The 13,643-nt window shown below is 37.7% G+C and overlaps 1 pseudogene; it reads right to left on the reverse strand.

Moving 5' to 3' along the window:
* Positions 1,921-2,703, reverse strand: RAB11AP1 (RAB11A, member RAS oncogene family pseudogene 1; annotated as a pseudogene).

A 13,643-nucleotide genomic window follows, 5' to 3' on the forward strand; every position in this document is an offset into this window, starting at 1 on the left:
CAGCAATGCCTTCCATGTTCACCACACATCATGAGCAAAGCAAAAGACAAAAGATGAATTATGAAACACAGTAATCTAAGCAAGCCCACATATATATATTTTTGGGGATATCCCACTATCCTGAATAGCAGTATCATTACAGCTGACACAACTTCCAGAAAACTGCTGAGTAAGTGCTTAATATTATCCACAAGAAAGCAAAACTAAATATTAGTATGCACATTTCTGAATGAGAAACTAATTGTCTCATTGATTTTAATAATGTAGTGGAAGAAAATTATATCCAGTCTCTGCAATGCCTAAGTGCATTCTATTTAAACTCAAGGTGCTATTTCATTTCATATACTAAAAGAATGCATGCCTTTAAGTGGTACCATTTGAGCAGAAATTCCTCATTGTATTCTTTAGACACACTGAAACCAAAGATTTAACTGAACTGTATTCCATAATATACTGCAAAACTCAAATATCAGCATTGTCAAAATAATTATCCATGCCTGCTGGTAGATATGGTCATAAAACTGGTTTCATTTCACTTACTGGAAGGTTTTAAGACAAAATTAACACTTCAAAATTTGATACTACCAGTATTAAACCAGTTATTGCCTGAGTAATAAAACGCCACGTTATCTACGGCTGGAAAATGAGATTGCTTAAATGGTTTGGGCTGCCTGATCATTGCAACAGAGGCACCTCAGATGGGATTCTACCAGTCTCACCAGTTCCCAGCCTGATGGGAAACATTATTTAACATATGGCCCCATAAACATACTACTAACAAAACCGTAACAAATCTTTTGTGTTTGTTTAGATAATTCTTCTCCAGAAAAAAAACATGTCTCCCTCTCTAATCAACTCTGATGCTTACAAAAATTAAAAAACAAAATTTACTAAACTACATAAACCTATTAAGGCATTTTAGAAATTGACTTCCAGAATAATGGAACATTTTTCAGCTCTCAAAATCCTGCTATGTTTATAGGGTCACCTTACATTTGTGGAAATATACACTGCACTGAGAGAAGAGTATATAACCTATAAGCTGCTCTGTGGCAAAATGATAGCTTATTTCTAAGGTCTTAGTTTGATTTGATCAAGACCAATAGGTCTGAGCTTCTAGTGATCAAGTTCTATTATGTCCTACAGTGATGGGCTTCCAGAATGAAAAGTAAACAATAATTGAGGAATCCAAACATTCCACCTATTAAACTAAGTCTAGTGAAGCCATAGCATGAAAAAGGTTGCAATCATTTGGGATAAGTGGATAATTTTATAAAACTAAAATCAAAACACTGAAGATATGGAAAAATTCATAAGTATGAAGTAATAAGAAAAAAAATGACACAAGAATTACAAAAATATTTGCCAGGCAAGGTATCAGAGCCCCAGCATCTAGAAGTGGTTGACTCACAGGCTGGTAAGAATTTACTGACAACAGTATAGGTTTGAAAAAGGAAAGTACTATTAGAAAGAAAGAACGTTGCCAGAGAGTGCATCAGGGCACCTCAATGAGAGGGCGGAGTGCACCGTGGTGGATTTTTCCTTAGGAGTAGTTATGAACTTTAAGGCAGGAGCTTGAGGGTAATTGGGACCATACTAGCCACATAGGTCATAATAAATGATTACATTTGTAGTACTTTTGGTGCCTTAATGTCAGCAAGGATTGCACAATGAGTTTTGACATGGCATTCTGGAGACGTATAGAACGTCTATACATCTTTACAAACTTTAAGTTGAAAAGAGGCCTGGAACCAGATGCCAACTTTGGATACTAGGGAAGTTTAATTACTTCTAAATTCTTCAGATAAGGAGTTTTGCCTGTTTTGTGGTCAACAGGTGGTCTTTGCTCCCTTCTAAATTCCTCACATAAGGAGTATTTGTCTCCAGGGCCTGTTACTGGGTGGTTTTTGTTCTCCTCAGTATTTAAATATTGGACTTGAGAAATGGGTTATACATTGCCTTCCAGGGCAGAAGAGAAACGCCTTAGATGTTCTGACAGCACTGCACCTTTGGTTTGTTTTCAGTGATTGGTGGAACATGAACAGGAACCACATTATTGCTTGGGGACATGTCTTTTTCGGCTCTGTCTGACATTTGCTTCTGAGAAACAATGTGAGGTATCTCTGTTAGAATTGTCTGAAAAGTAGCTTCTACATTTGTAGAGTCTAGAGCAGATGTCTCAATGAATGACAAATCATTTTTTTCTGCCAAAGCTCTTGCCTTCAACTCTAGGAACTTCCCTGAGATGATGTAAATCACTCTTATTTGTCCATGATAACATGACAACAACATTACTATCAGTGTGATCGCTCAGTTCTTTCAGCAATCATTCTGTATTTTCATATGTGAGATGTTTAGCAATGTCTTAAACCAATAAGGCACCTATATCTTCATGATAATAAGCTTATGTTATAGCTTCGTATTACTCTTGCCCTGCTCTGTCCCACATCTGTGCCTTTATTGTTTTCCTATCAATATGGATGCTTCTTGTTGCAAACTACTCCAGTGGTGCTCTTGCTTTCCAGATTAAACTCATTTTGAGTAAATCAAGACAGGAGATTATTCTTTCCAACACCAGAATCTCCAATAAGGATAACATTAAAGAGGTAGTCATTCTCATTGTTGCAGGTGCCCATTGCACAACTGAGGAGTGAAGGGGTGGGAGCGGTAGTAGCATCTGTGAGACTAGGGAGGCATTGCTGCTCCTAATTTTCTACATTTGATGAAAAGTACCAATCCGAAGATGCAAGAATCTCAATGATCCTCAGGCAGAATAAAAACAGAGAAAACTATAAATTATATCAACACATATTGATGACAACTAATGATAAAAAGTTGCCACACAGTGACCAAAGACTTAGATTACAACACTCAACTCCCTTTGAATACTTGGAAAGCTTTCTCAGGAAGGAAGTGTATAAATAAGCCTAGATTGTAAGGATTAGAAAAAAATAAATGATTATTTAATGCCTAGCCATTGAGAAACATTCACAAGCATTAGTACCATCCAGGAAAACATGATCTCACCAAACAAACTAAATAAGGCAGCAGTGACAAATTTCAGAGTGACAGAGATAGGTAACCTTTCTGACAGAGAATTCAAAATAGCTGTTTTGAGGAAGCTCAATGAAATCCAAGATAAAACAAAGAAGAAATCCAGAATCCTATCAGATAAATTTAACGAAGAGATTGAAATAATTAAAAAGCAGAAATAATTATCAGGCAGAAATTCTGGAGCTAGTCAATGCAATTGATAAACTGAAGAATGCATCAGAATCTCTCAACAGCAAAACTGATCAAGCAGAAGAAAGAATTAGTGAGCTTGAAGACAGGCTATTTGAAAATACAGAGTCAGTGAAGTCAAAAGAAAAAAGAATAAAAAAAATGAAGCATGCTTACATGGTCTAGAAAACAGCCTCAAAAGGGAAAATCTAAATTATTGGCCTTAAAGAGGTGGTAGAGAGAGAGAATAGGGTAGTTTATTCAAAGAGATAATAACGAAGAACTTTCCAAACCTAGAGAAAGATGTCAATATTCAAGTACAAGAAGGTTATACAACACCAAGCAAATTTAACCCAAATAAGACTACCTCAAGTCATTTAATAATCAAACTCCCAAAGGTCAAGGATAAAGAAAAGATCCTAAAAGCACCAAGACAAAAGAAATAAGTAACATATAAGGCAGCTCCAGTATGTCTGGCAGCAGATTTTTCAGTGGAAACCTTACAGGCCAGAAGAGTAGTATGATATATTTAAAGTGCTGAAAAAAACCCTTTTATCCTGGAATATTATATCCAGTGAAAATATCTTTCAAACATGAAGGAGAAATAAAGACTTTATCAGACTAACAAAAATTGAGTGATTTTTTTTTTAAACACCAGACCTGTCCTATAAGAAATGCTAACGGGAATTCAATCTGAAAGAAAGGGACATTAATGAGCAATAAGAAATCATCTGAAGGTACAAAACTTACCGGTAAGTAACAACAAGTACACAAACAAATAAAGAATACTGTAACAGTGTAATTGTGGTGTGCAAACTACTTCTATCTTAAGTAGGAAGACTAAAAAGATGCACCTATCAAGAATAATAACTGCAACAAATTTTTAAGACAGAGAGTATAATAAGATATAAACAGAAACAACAAAAACTTGAGAGGAGATGAAGTTAAAGTATTGAATTTGTATTAGTTTTCTCCTTGCTTGTTTGTTAGCTTCTTTGTTCAATTTTGCAATCAGAGTTGTCATTCGCTTAAAATAATGGGTTACAAGACGTTATTTGCAAGCCTCATGGTAACCTCAAATCAAATACCTACAACAGTTACACACACAAAAAAAAGAAAAAATCAAAACATACCACCAGAAAAAAATCACTTCCAAAAAAAAGGAAGACAGGAAGGAAAGAAGGAAGAGAAGACCACAAAACAACCAGAAAACAAATAACAAAATGGTAGGAGTAAGTCTTTACTTATCATTAATAACATTGAACGTAAATGGACTAAACTCTCCAAACCAAAGACATAGACTGGCTACATGGATTAAAAACACAAAACAAAACAAGACCCAGTGATCTGTTGCCTACAAAAAACACACTTTACCTACAAAGACACACATGGACTGAAAATGAAGGGATGGAAAAAGATATTCCATGCAAATGAAAATCAAAACAAGAGCAGGAGTAGCTATACCTATATCAGATAAAATACATTTCAAGACAAAAACTATAAATACAAACAAAGATGGTCATTATATAATGGAAAAAGGATCGATTCAACAACAGGATATAACGATTATAAATATAAATACACTCAACGCTGGAGCACCCAGATATGTAAAGCCAATATTTATTTATTTAATTAATTTATTTATTGAGACAGGGTCTTACTCTGTTGCCCAGGCTGGAGTGCAGTGGTGTGACCATGGCTCACTGTAATGGCTCACTGTAGCCTTGACCTCCCAGGCTCAGCTGATCTTTCCACCTCAGCCTCCTGGGTAGCTGGGACTACAAGCACAAGCCACTATGCCCAGCTAATTTTTTGTAATTTGTTGTAGAGACACAGTTTTACCATGTTTCCCAGGCTGGTCTCAAACTCTGGACTCAAGTGGCCCACCTGCCTTGGCCTCCAAAAGTGCTAGCATTACAGGCGTGAGCTACCACATCCAGCCTAAAGTCTTAAAACATTAAAAAAAAAAAAACCGAAATCATATAAAATATATTCTCCGACCACAATGGACTAACACTAGAAATCAATAACAAGAAGAACGTGGAAACTATACAAACACACGGAAATTAAACAATATGCTCCTGAATGACCAGTGGGCCAATGAAGAAATTAAGAAGAAAAGTGAAAAATTCCTGGAAACAAATGGATGTTAACTGTCGCCACTGTTATTTAACATAGGACTGAAAGTCCTAGCTAGAGCAATCAGACAAGAGAAAGAAATAAAGGGCATGAAAATTGAAAAGGAAGAAGTCAAATTATCTTTGTTTGCAAATGATATAATCCTATATTTAAAGAAACTAAAGACACCACCAAAAAACTATTAGAGCTGATAAACAAATTCAGTGAAGTTATAGGATACAAAATCAACATACAAAAATCAGTAGCATTTCTTTTTTTTTTTTTTTTTTTGAGACGGAGTCTCGCTCTGTCCCCCAGGCTGGAGTGCAGTGGCATGATCTCGGCTCACTGCAAGCTCCAACTCCCGGGTTCACACCATTCTCCTGCCTCAGCCTTCCAAGTAGCTGGGACTACAGGCGCCTGCCACCACGCCTGGCTAATTTTTTAGTATTTTTTTTTTTTAGTAGAGACGGGGTTTCACTGTGTTAGCCAGGATGGTCTTGATCTCCTGACCTTGTGACCCACCCGCCTCAGCCTCCCAAAGTGCTGGGATTACAGGTGCTAGCCACCATGCCCGGCCAAAAATCAGTAGCATTTCTATATGCCAACAGCAACAGTCTGAATAAGAAATTGAGAAAGTAATTCCATTTACAACAGCTACAAATAAAATACTTAGGAACAAACTTAACCAAAGAAGTGAAAGATCTCTACAATCAAAACTATAAAAAATTGATGCAAGAAATTAAACAGGGCACAATAAAAACAGAAAGATATTCCATGTTCATGGATTGAACGAATCAATATTATTAAAATGTCCATACTACCCTAAGCAGTCTACAGATTCAATATAATCCCTATCAAAATACCAATGACATTCTTTACAGATATAGAAAAAACAATCCTAAAATGTATATGGAACCACAAAAAACCCAGAATAGCCAAAGCCATCCTGAACAAAAAGAACAAAACTAAAGGAATCATGTTACCTGACTTCAAGTTATACTACAGAGCTATAGTAACCAAAACGGGATGGTACTTGCATTAAAACAGACACATAGATCAATGGAACAGAATAGAGAACCCAGAAACAAGTCCATACATCTACACTGAACTCATTTTTTACAAAGTTGCCAAAAACATTCAATGGGGAAAAGACAGTCTCTTCAATAAATGTTGCAATAAATACACAGCAGAATGAAACTAGACCCCTATCTCTCACCATATAGAAAAATAAAATCAAAATGGATTAAAGACTTAAATTTCATACCCAAAACTATGAAACTACTAAAATAAAACTTTGGAGAAACTCTCCAGGACATTGGTCTGGGCAGAAATTTCTTGAGCAGTACCCCAAAAGCACAGGCTGCCAAAGCAACGAAGGACAAAGAGGATCACATTAAAAAACTTCTGCACAACAAAGGCAACAATCATCAAAGTGAAGAGATGACCCACAGAATGGGTGGAAATATTTGTAAACTACCCATCTGGCAAAGGATTAATAACCCAAATATATAAGGAGCTCAAACAACTTAATAGGAAACAAAACAAATTTAATAGTCTGATTTTAAAATGAGCTTAAGGTCTGAATAGACATTTCTCGAAAGAAGACACCAAATGGCAAACAGGTATATGAAAATGCGCTCAAAATCACTGATCACCACAGAAGTGCAAATTAAACCTACTATGAAATATCATCTCACCCCAGTTAAAATATTTTTTTATCAAAAAGACAGGCAATAATGAATGTGGGTGAAGATGTGGAGAAAGAGAAATCCTCATACAATATTGGTGGGAATGTAAATTAGTACAGCCACTATAAAAACAGTATGAGGTTCCTCAACAAACTAAAATAGAACTACCATATGATCCATCAACCCCACTGCTAAGTATACACCCAAAAGGAAGAAAATTAATATATCAAAGAGATATCTATACGCCCATGTTTATTGCAGCACTATTCACAATAGCCAGGATTTGGAATCAACCTAAGTGCCCATCAACAAATGAATGGATAAAGAAAATGTGGTACATATACACAGTGGAATACTTTTCAGTCATAAAAAAGAATAAGATTCTGTCATTTGCAATGACGTGGCTGGAACTGGAGGACATTATGTTAAGTGAAGTAAGCCAGGCACAGAAAGACAAACTTCACATGTTCTCACTCATTTGTGGGAGCTAAATTTAAAACAATTGAACTCATGGAGACAGAGAGTAGGAGGATGGTTACCAGAGGCTGGGAAGTGTAGTGTGGGCAGGGGTAGGAAAAAGGGATGGTGAGTAGGTACAAAAATTACTTAGATACAATGAATATGATTTCGTATTTGATAACACTAAAGGGTGACTACAGTCAGCAATAATTTGTTACACATTTTGGAATAACTGAGGGGGTATAATTGAAATGTTAGTAACACAAAGAAATGATGAATTCTTAAAGTGATGGATTTACCCTGATGGGGTTATTACACATTATGTGCCTGTAACAAAATACCTCATGTACTCCATCAATATATACACCTACTATGTACCCATAAAAATTAAAAATAAAAAAAGTTAAAAATATAAAATAAAATATAAATGACATAAGGTTGATCACCTTTAAAAAAAAAGTTGCCAGAAAAAACAGTGGGACAAAGATAATATTAACACTGATTTATCATCAGAGACAAGTCAGCCAGAAGAAAATAGAACAAGATTTTCAAGGTCTTGAAAGAAAAAAACTGTCAACCTATAACTGTATATCCAACACATATATTCCTCAAAACACAAAATAGAAATACATTTTTTAGACAAACAAAAACAGAGAATTTGTTGCCAGCAGATCTACTCTACAAGAAATATTTTAAAATTTCCTCAGGCTGAAAGAAAATGATATCACATGTATCACATAGAGACATAGTCCTAGACAAAGGAATGAAGAGTTTCAGAAGTGGTAAACATTTATGTATACGTAAAAGATTTTTCTCCTCATTTTTTAATCTCCTTAAGAGGTAATTGACTGTCCTAAACAAAATACTAACAATGCATATATTTAAAGAAACTTATAACCTATTTCCTCCTCTCTATCCTTTAAGTAAGCTATTGTTACAATTATCATACATTTTATCTAAATGTTTTACAAATATGAATACACACACACTATGGAGGCTGCAGGAAATATTGACCTTGGCAAACTAGAATTACCTAAAAGCATTCGTTGTTTTAGGGCAGTAATGGTTAAGAACTTGGGCTTGGGGCCAGTCACAGTGGCCAGTCACAGTGGCTCATGCCCAGCCCCTTTAGGAGGCTGAGGTGGAAGGGTTGCTTGAGGCCAGGAGTTTGAGACGGGCTTGGGCAATATAGTGAGACCTTGTCTCTACAAAAAATTGAAAAATTAGCCAGATATGGTGGCATGTGCCTGTAGTCCCAGCTAATATACAAATATACAAAGCAAATATACATGGCTTTGTATCTAAATGGAACCTCTTGAGTGCTTTCTATCCTTACTACCACTGAAGGTGAAATTGCTGCTGCTTTAGCGGACTAGAACTGGCTTCTCTTATTGGATTGTGGTAGCCAAGCACTGTGTGTGTGTGTACATATGTTTGTCTGTAGGATAAATAATACTTTGTAGTTTGGTATTGGAATTCTCTGCTTACTGACACTTGGCTTAAGCCTTCTTTCTCCCTGAGGTCTCATCTTAGTAGAAATTAATGTTTGCCCTTTTTGTTCGACAGAATCAGGAGTTGGAAGAACATCCAGTAATGGGTACACAGAAATGGAGCAGGGAGAAAGAAGGAGAAGACGGAGAATAACAGAGTGCCTGAGGCATGCAGACGATTCAGGAAGGGACTAACATTAGGTCTGAGTTATATGTAGGTATTCACGTTGCAAATTGCCTATGAACAGCCTCCATTCCCTGTGGGACCCAGCTGAGACCCATACTTTGGACAGCAGAATTGAGTTAGGAAGAGATCAGAGCTGTAGACACTGGAGTACGACTGCTGTCATAGCAGATTAGGACAGAGGTTGGATTCTGTTAATAGCATTATAAAAATTGTTTTTCTTATTTATTTCACAGCATTTTACTCTAGGAAAGTTAAGATGCTAGAGAGACACCATAAGCCTAGTGCACATCACACAGTTGTGTGGAAAGTCATCATGAGTATTGCCATCGCAATGGTCTCAGCGTTCAAAGGAGAACGTTGAGTGAAAGAAACTATGCTCTAATGAGGTCCTCTCAGAAACCAGCAATCCTGGCAATTCAGCTCTCTGGGCAAATAATAGAGCAGAGTCATCAGGACCACCCACCTAGGCGTCTGATGATCCTGGGTTTCAATCCTACCTGGGCCCTTCACTATCAGTTTGACTTTGGGCAACTGGTTTAACATCTCTGAGCCTCAATTTTCTCATCTATAAAATGAGGATGATAAAATGCATACTGTTTAAAAAAGAGTACTTACTGTCGGGTACTCTACAAGTATTATCTCATTTTATCCTCGCAACAGCTAGATACTATTATTATTCTATTTTATAGGTGTGAAAACAGAGGCTCAGAGCAATGGGCTGTCATGTGTCGGAAGTCACAAGGCTGGTTAAGTGGTACATCCAGGAATGGACCCTGGGCATTCTGATTCCAGAGCCCTGCTTTTAACTATTAAGCAAAACTGCTGGATAAAGCTCTCCTGAGTATCAAATAAGCTGATGAGCTCAATAGTGCCTGGCACATTTTGATTCTTTCATAAATGGTAATTATCAAAATGAGAGTTGAGTGCAATCCAGATCCCAAGTTATGACAAATCTGGGGTTAACGTGAATTCTGTAGCAACACCCAGGGCCAACTCTAAAGCTCAGGCATCCTCACTCTCAGATAATCTATAAACAGAAAGTTCTCATAGAAAAATACAAGTTCCCTGGGGTGTCAGAAATCGTTTATACAGAAGGTGCCTTTTGCAGCATGGGAACAGATCAGAGAGTAGGAAAGCAAGGAAGAACTGGAGAATGTCCTGGCCCCATCGTCAGAGCTCCCTTGAAAGGGAGCATCCTGACTTCCAGCCCAATCTGTCCAACAGGAGAGAACAGAAAGCTGGGAACTAAACGAGTGCCACACCCCTGGCTCATGGATTTTGCAGGATGCTAGGTAATGCTAGCATCATTTCTTCATTTCTCCATCATCTCCCTCCCCATCCCGATCACGTCCTCGGCCTTGTCTCTTTTGTTCCCAACTCCACCACTGCCAAGAACTGTACGTGGTCCAAAGTGGGCACTCAAACAACACTAGCTGAATGCATTACATGAAAAATGGTATGAAGATAAAGATAAACATATTAGGGATCAGAATGGAAAATTGTCATGCCTTTTTAAAGATGAAACACAGGACTTCAAAGAAACTTCAAAAATCTGGTAAGGGCTTTAAACTGTCTACAGAGATTAAAGTTCAAACTCTCAGAAATGTTTTCCCTGGCATTTTTAACCCCTTAAAAATTTTAATAAAATACACATAAAATTTACCATTTTAACCACTTTAAATATACAACTCAGTGGCATTAAGTGCATTCACATGGCTGAACAACCATCACCACCATCCATCCACCGAACTCTTTCACCATCCTAAACTGAAATGCCATACCCATTAAACACTAACTCCCATTCCCTCCACATCCCAGACCCGGGGAACCATCATTCTACTTTCTGTCTCATGAATTTGACTATGCTAGGCCCTGCTAATAAATAGAATCATACAATATTTGTCCTTTTATGTTCAGTTTATTTACTTAGCATAATGTCTTCAAGGTTCATCCATGTTGTAGCATGTCAGAATTTCATTTCTTAAGACTGAATAACATTCCACTGTATGCTTTATACCACACTTTGCTTATCTGTTCATTCATTGACAGACATTTGAGTTGTTTCCAGCTTTTGGCAGTTGTGAATAATACTAATATGAAAATGAATGTACAAATATCTGTTCAATTTCCTGCTTTCACTTCATCTGGGAATATATATCCAGAAGTAGAATTGGAGGATCATATAGTAACTATGTCTAATTTTTTGAGGAGCCATTCCTGGCATTTTTTTCTGTTATATTATCAGAGTCAGCTCCTACTTATTTGAACAGTTTATTTTGCCTCTCCAGTGTTCTATCCTACATTTATCCTAAATGACCTCTCTTTTGCTGGTCCCTTCTTTCATTTACAAAGATTATTTAGAAATATGATCTTATGTTCCACAGTACTGATTTTTCCCAAAACAAAACATTAGGGCTGTTTGGAACAAACTGCCATTTCCCAAGTCATAAGTTGCATTAGTTTAAAAGGTAAGAATCCATGAATTTTTTGGAAAAAAAAAAGCAGTCCTTCAAATCAGTACCAAGGTACCAGTTTGTTATGAAAGACAGTTTCTGACATACAAACGTCTCACTTAGGAACATCCCTGACATGCAAAGACCAGTGGAAACCAGGAATCTGACTCCTCCTGGAAGTCTCCACCTGCTGCCACATGGATGGTGAGGATCTTGGACTTTCAGTGGTTAGCAGGGACAGGTTAAAACCCACCTCTTCTCCATTTTCATCTTCCTTCTTGACACCAGAACTATGGGAGTGCCATCCTTGCTGTGGCTACCTGGCATCACAGTGAGAGCTCCTGTTCTCACTGGAAGATTGAATCACTTCAGAAGCAGAAGAGTGTGTGCTGGAACACAGCACAATTTTGCATACAGAAACAATGCTCTTTCACATCTAGTCAACGAGTTCTGCACATTCCATCTCCTAGCCACCTCAAAATCCATCTTTCCTCCTTGCCTTCTCTACCTGGGGTCAGAATCTCATCTGGGTCACTTCAATAGGCTCTGAACTAGTCTCCTCTACAGTCGGGATTTCTGGCCCATCCTGCACATTATGGAGATCTATCTGTCACCAGCTCAATATCACTATCATCACCAAAGACCTGAAATAACAATGTTCAGGAGAGACCTTAACAGCCCCACACCTCTACTGGGTGGAGCTTCAGGACAGCCATGTCTTCTGACTTCTAGTCTGGTCCGCACTTTTTTTTTTTTTTTTTTTTTTTTTTTGAGACAGTCTCGCTCATGTTGCCCAGGATATAGTGCAGCAGCGTGATCTCGGCTCACCGCAACCTCCGCCTCCTGGGTTCAAGTGATTCTCCTGCCTCAGCCTCCTGAGCAGCTGGGATTATAGGCACCCGCCATTACACCTGGCTAATTTTTGTATTTTTAGTAGAGACGGGGTCTCACCATGTTGGCCAGGCTGGTCTCGAACTCCTGACCTCAAGTGATCTGCCCTCCTCGGCCTCCCAAAGTGCTGGGATTACAGGCCAGCTTGGTCCGCACTTTTCTCATTGGTTGCCTTTTATGTCAGCATGGCTGTCAGCTAAATGGGAGAATGAATATAACTGATACCATTTATATATGAAGGTCAGCAGTGGAGGGGAAGGAAGTTAAAGGGAATAAACAGCAGGTATGAAATCATCTCACCACCTTTAATAACTGGTGTAGTACCCATTTTCTTCTCTTCTTCTTCTCCCTTTTCGAGGATGGTGTTGAAAGTGTTGAAAGTGGAGCAGTCAGGGTACTTCCTTCTCAAATCATCACACTTCTTTCTTCTTTACCACACTTCCTAGCCATAATCTTCACCATTTAAGAGGAGGGGACTCTTCAAACCCTTTCCATATCGAAATCTTAGAATGCAATTGTGAAACTGCACTTGACTTCCCAGATATTTGAGGAAGCTTCCTGGTTCTTGCTTTATAATCATGATCTACCACCCTTACCATCCTTCCCTGAAATTTCCCTATCTAAAACAACGACAACAAAACCTGTTACAGATATTTTTGTAAGTAGCCTTAAATTCTTTTAAAAGTATTATTATTTTTTTTATAGAGACAAGGTCTATGTTGCCCAGGCTGGTCTCAAACTCCTAAGCTCAAGCAATCCTCCCACCTCAGCCTCCCGAAGTGCTAGGATGGTAGGCTGAGCCACCGTGCCCAGCCTTAAATTCTCTTTTAAGACAAGGCAAAAGTATGTGTTAATCAAGTTAGAATTCAGGTGACCATTTGTCTCAGTTTGCCTAGGACAGTCCCAGTTTATGCCTATTCCCTTGTGTAACTTTTAAAAGAGCTCCTCCTTTTACTCTTAAAAAAAAAAAGGTCCAGTTTGGAGGATAAATTATATGCTGACCCTAGTTTAAAACACACTTTGATTTTCTAACATAGTGTTTTCCAGGTGATATTATGCTTTTGCCCACATCATTGCATTTTATTTACATAACTACTCTGCGAAGCAGGAAGGGAAATACTTGATCGCTATT

The sequence above is a fragment of the Homo sapiens genome, chromosome 10 (assembly GCF_000001405.40).
Source record: "Homo sapiens chromosome 10, GRCh38.p14 Primary Assembly".
Classification (NCBI taxonomy): Eukaryota; Metazoa; Chordata; class Mammalia; order Primates; family Hominidae; genus Homo; species Homo sapiens.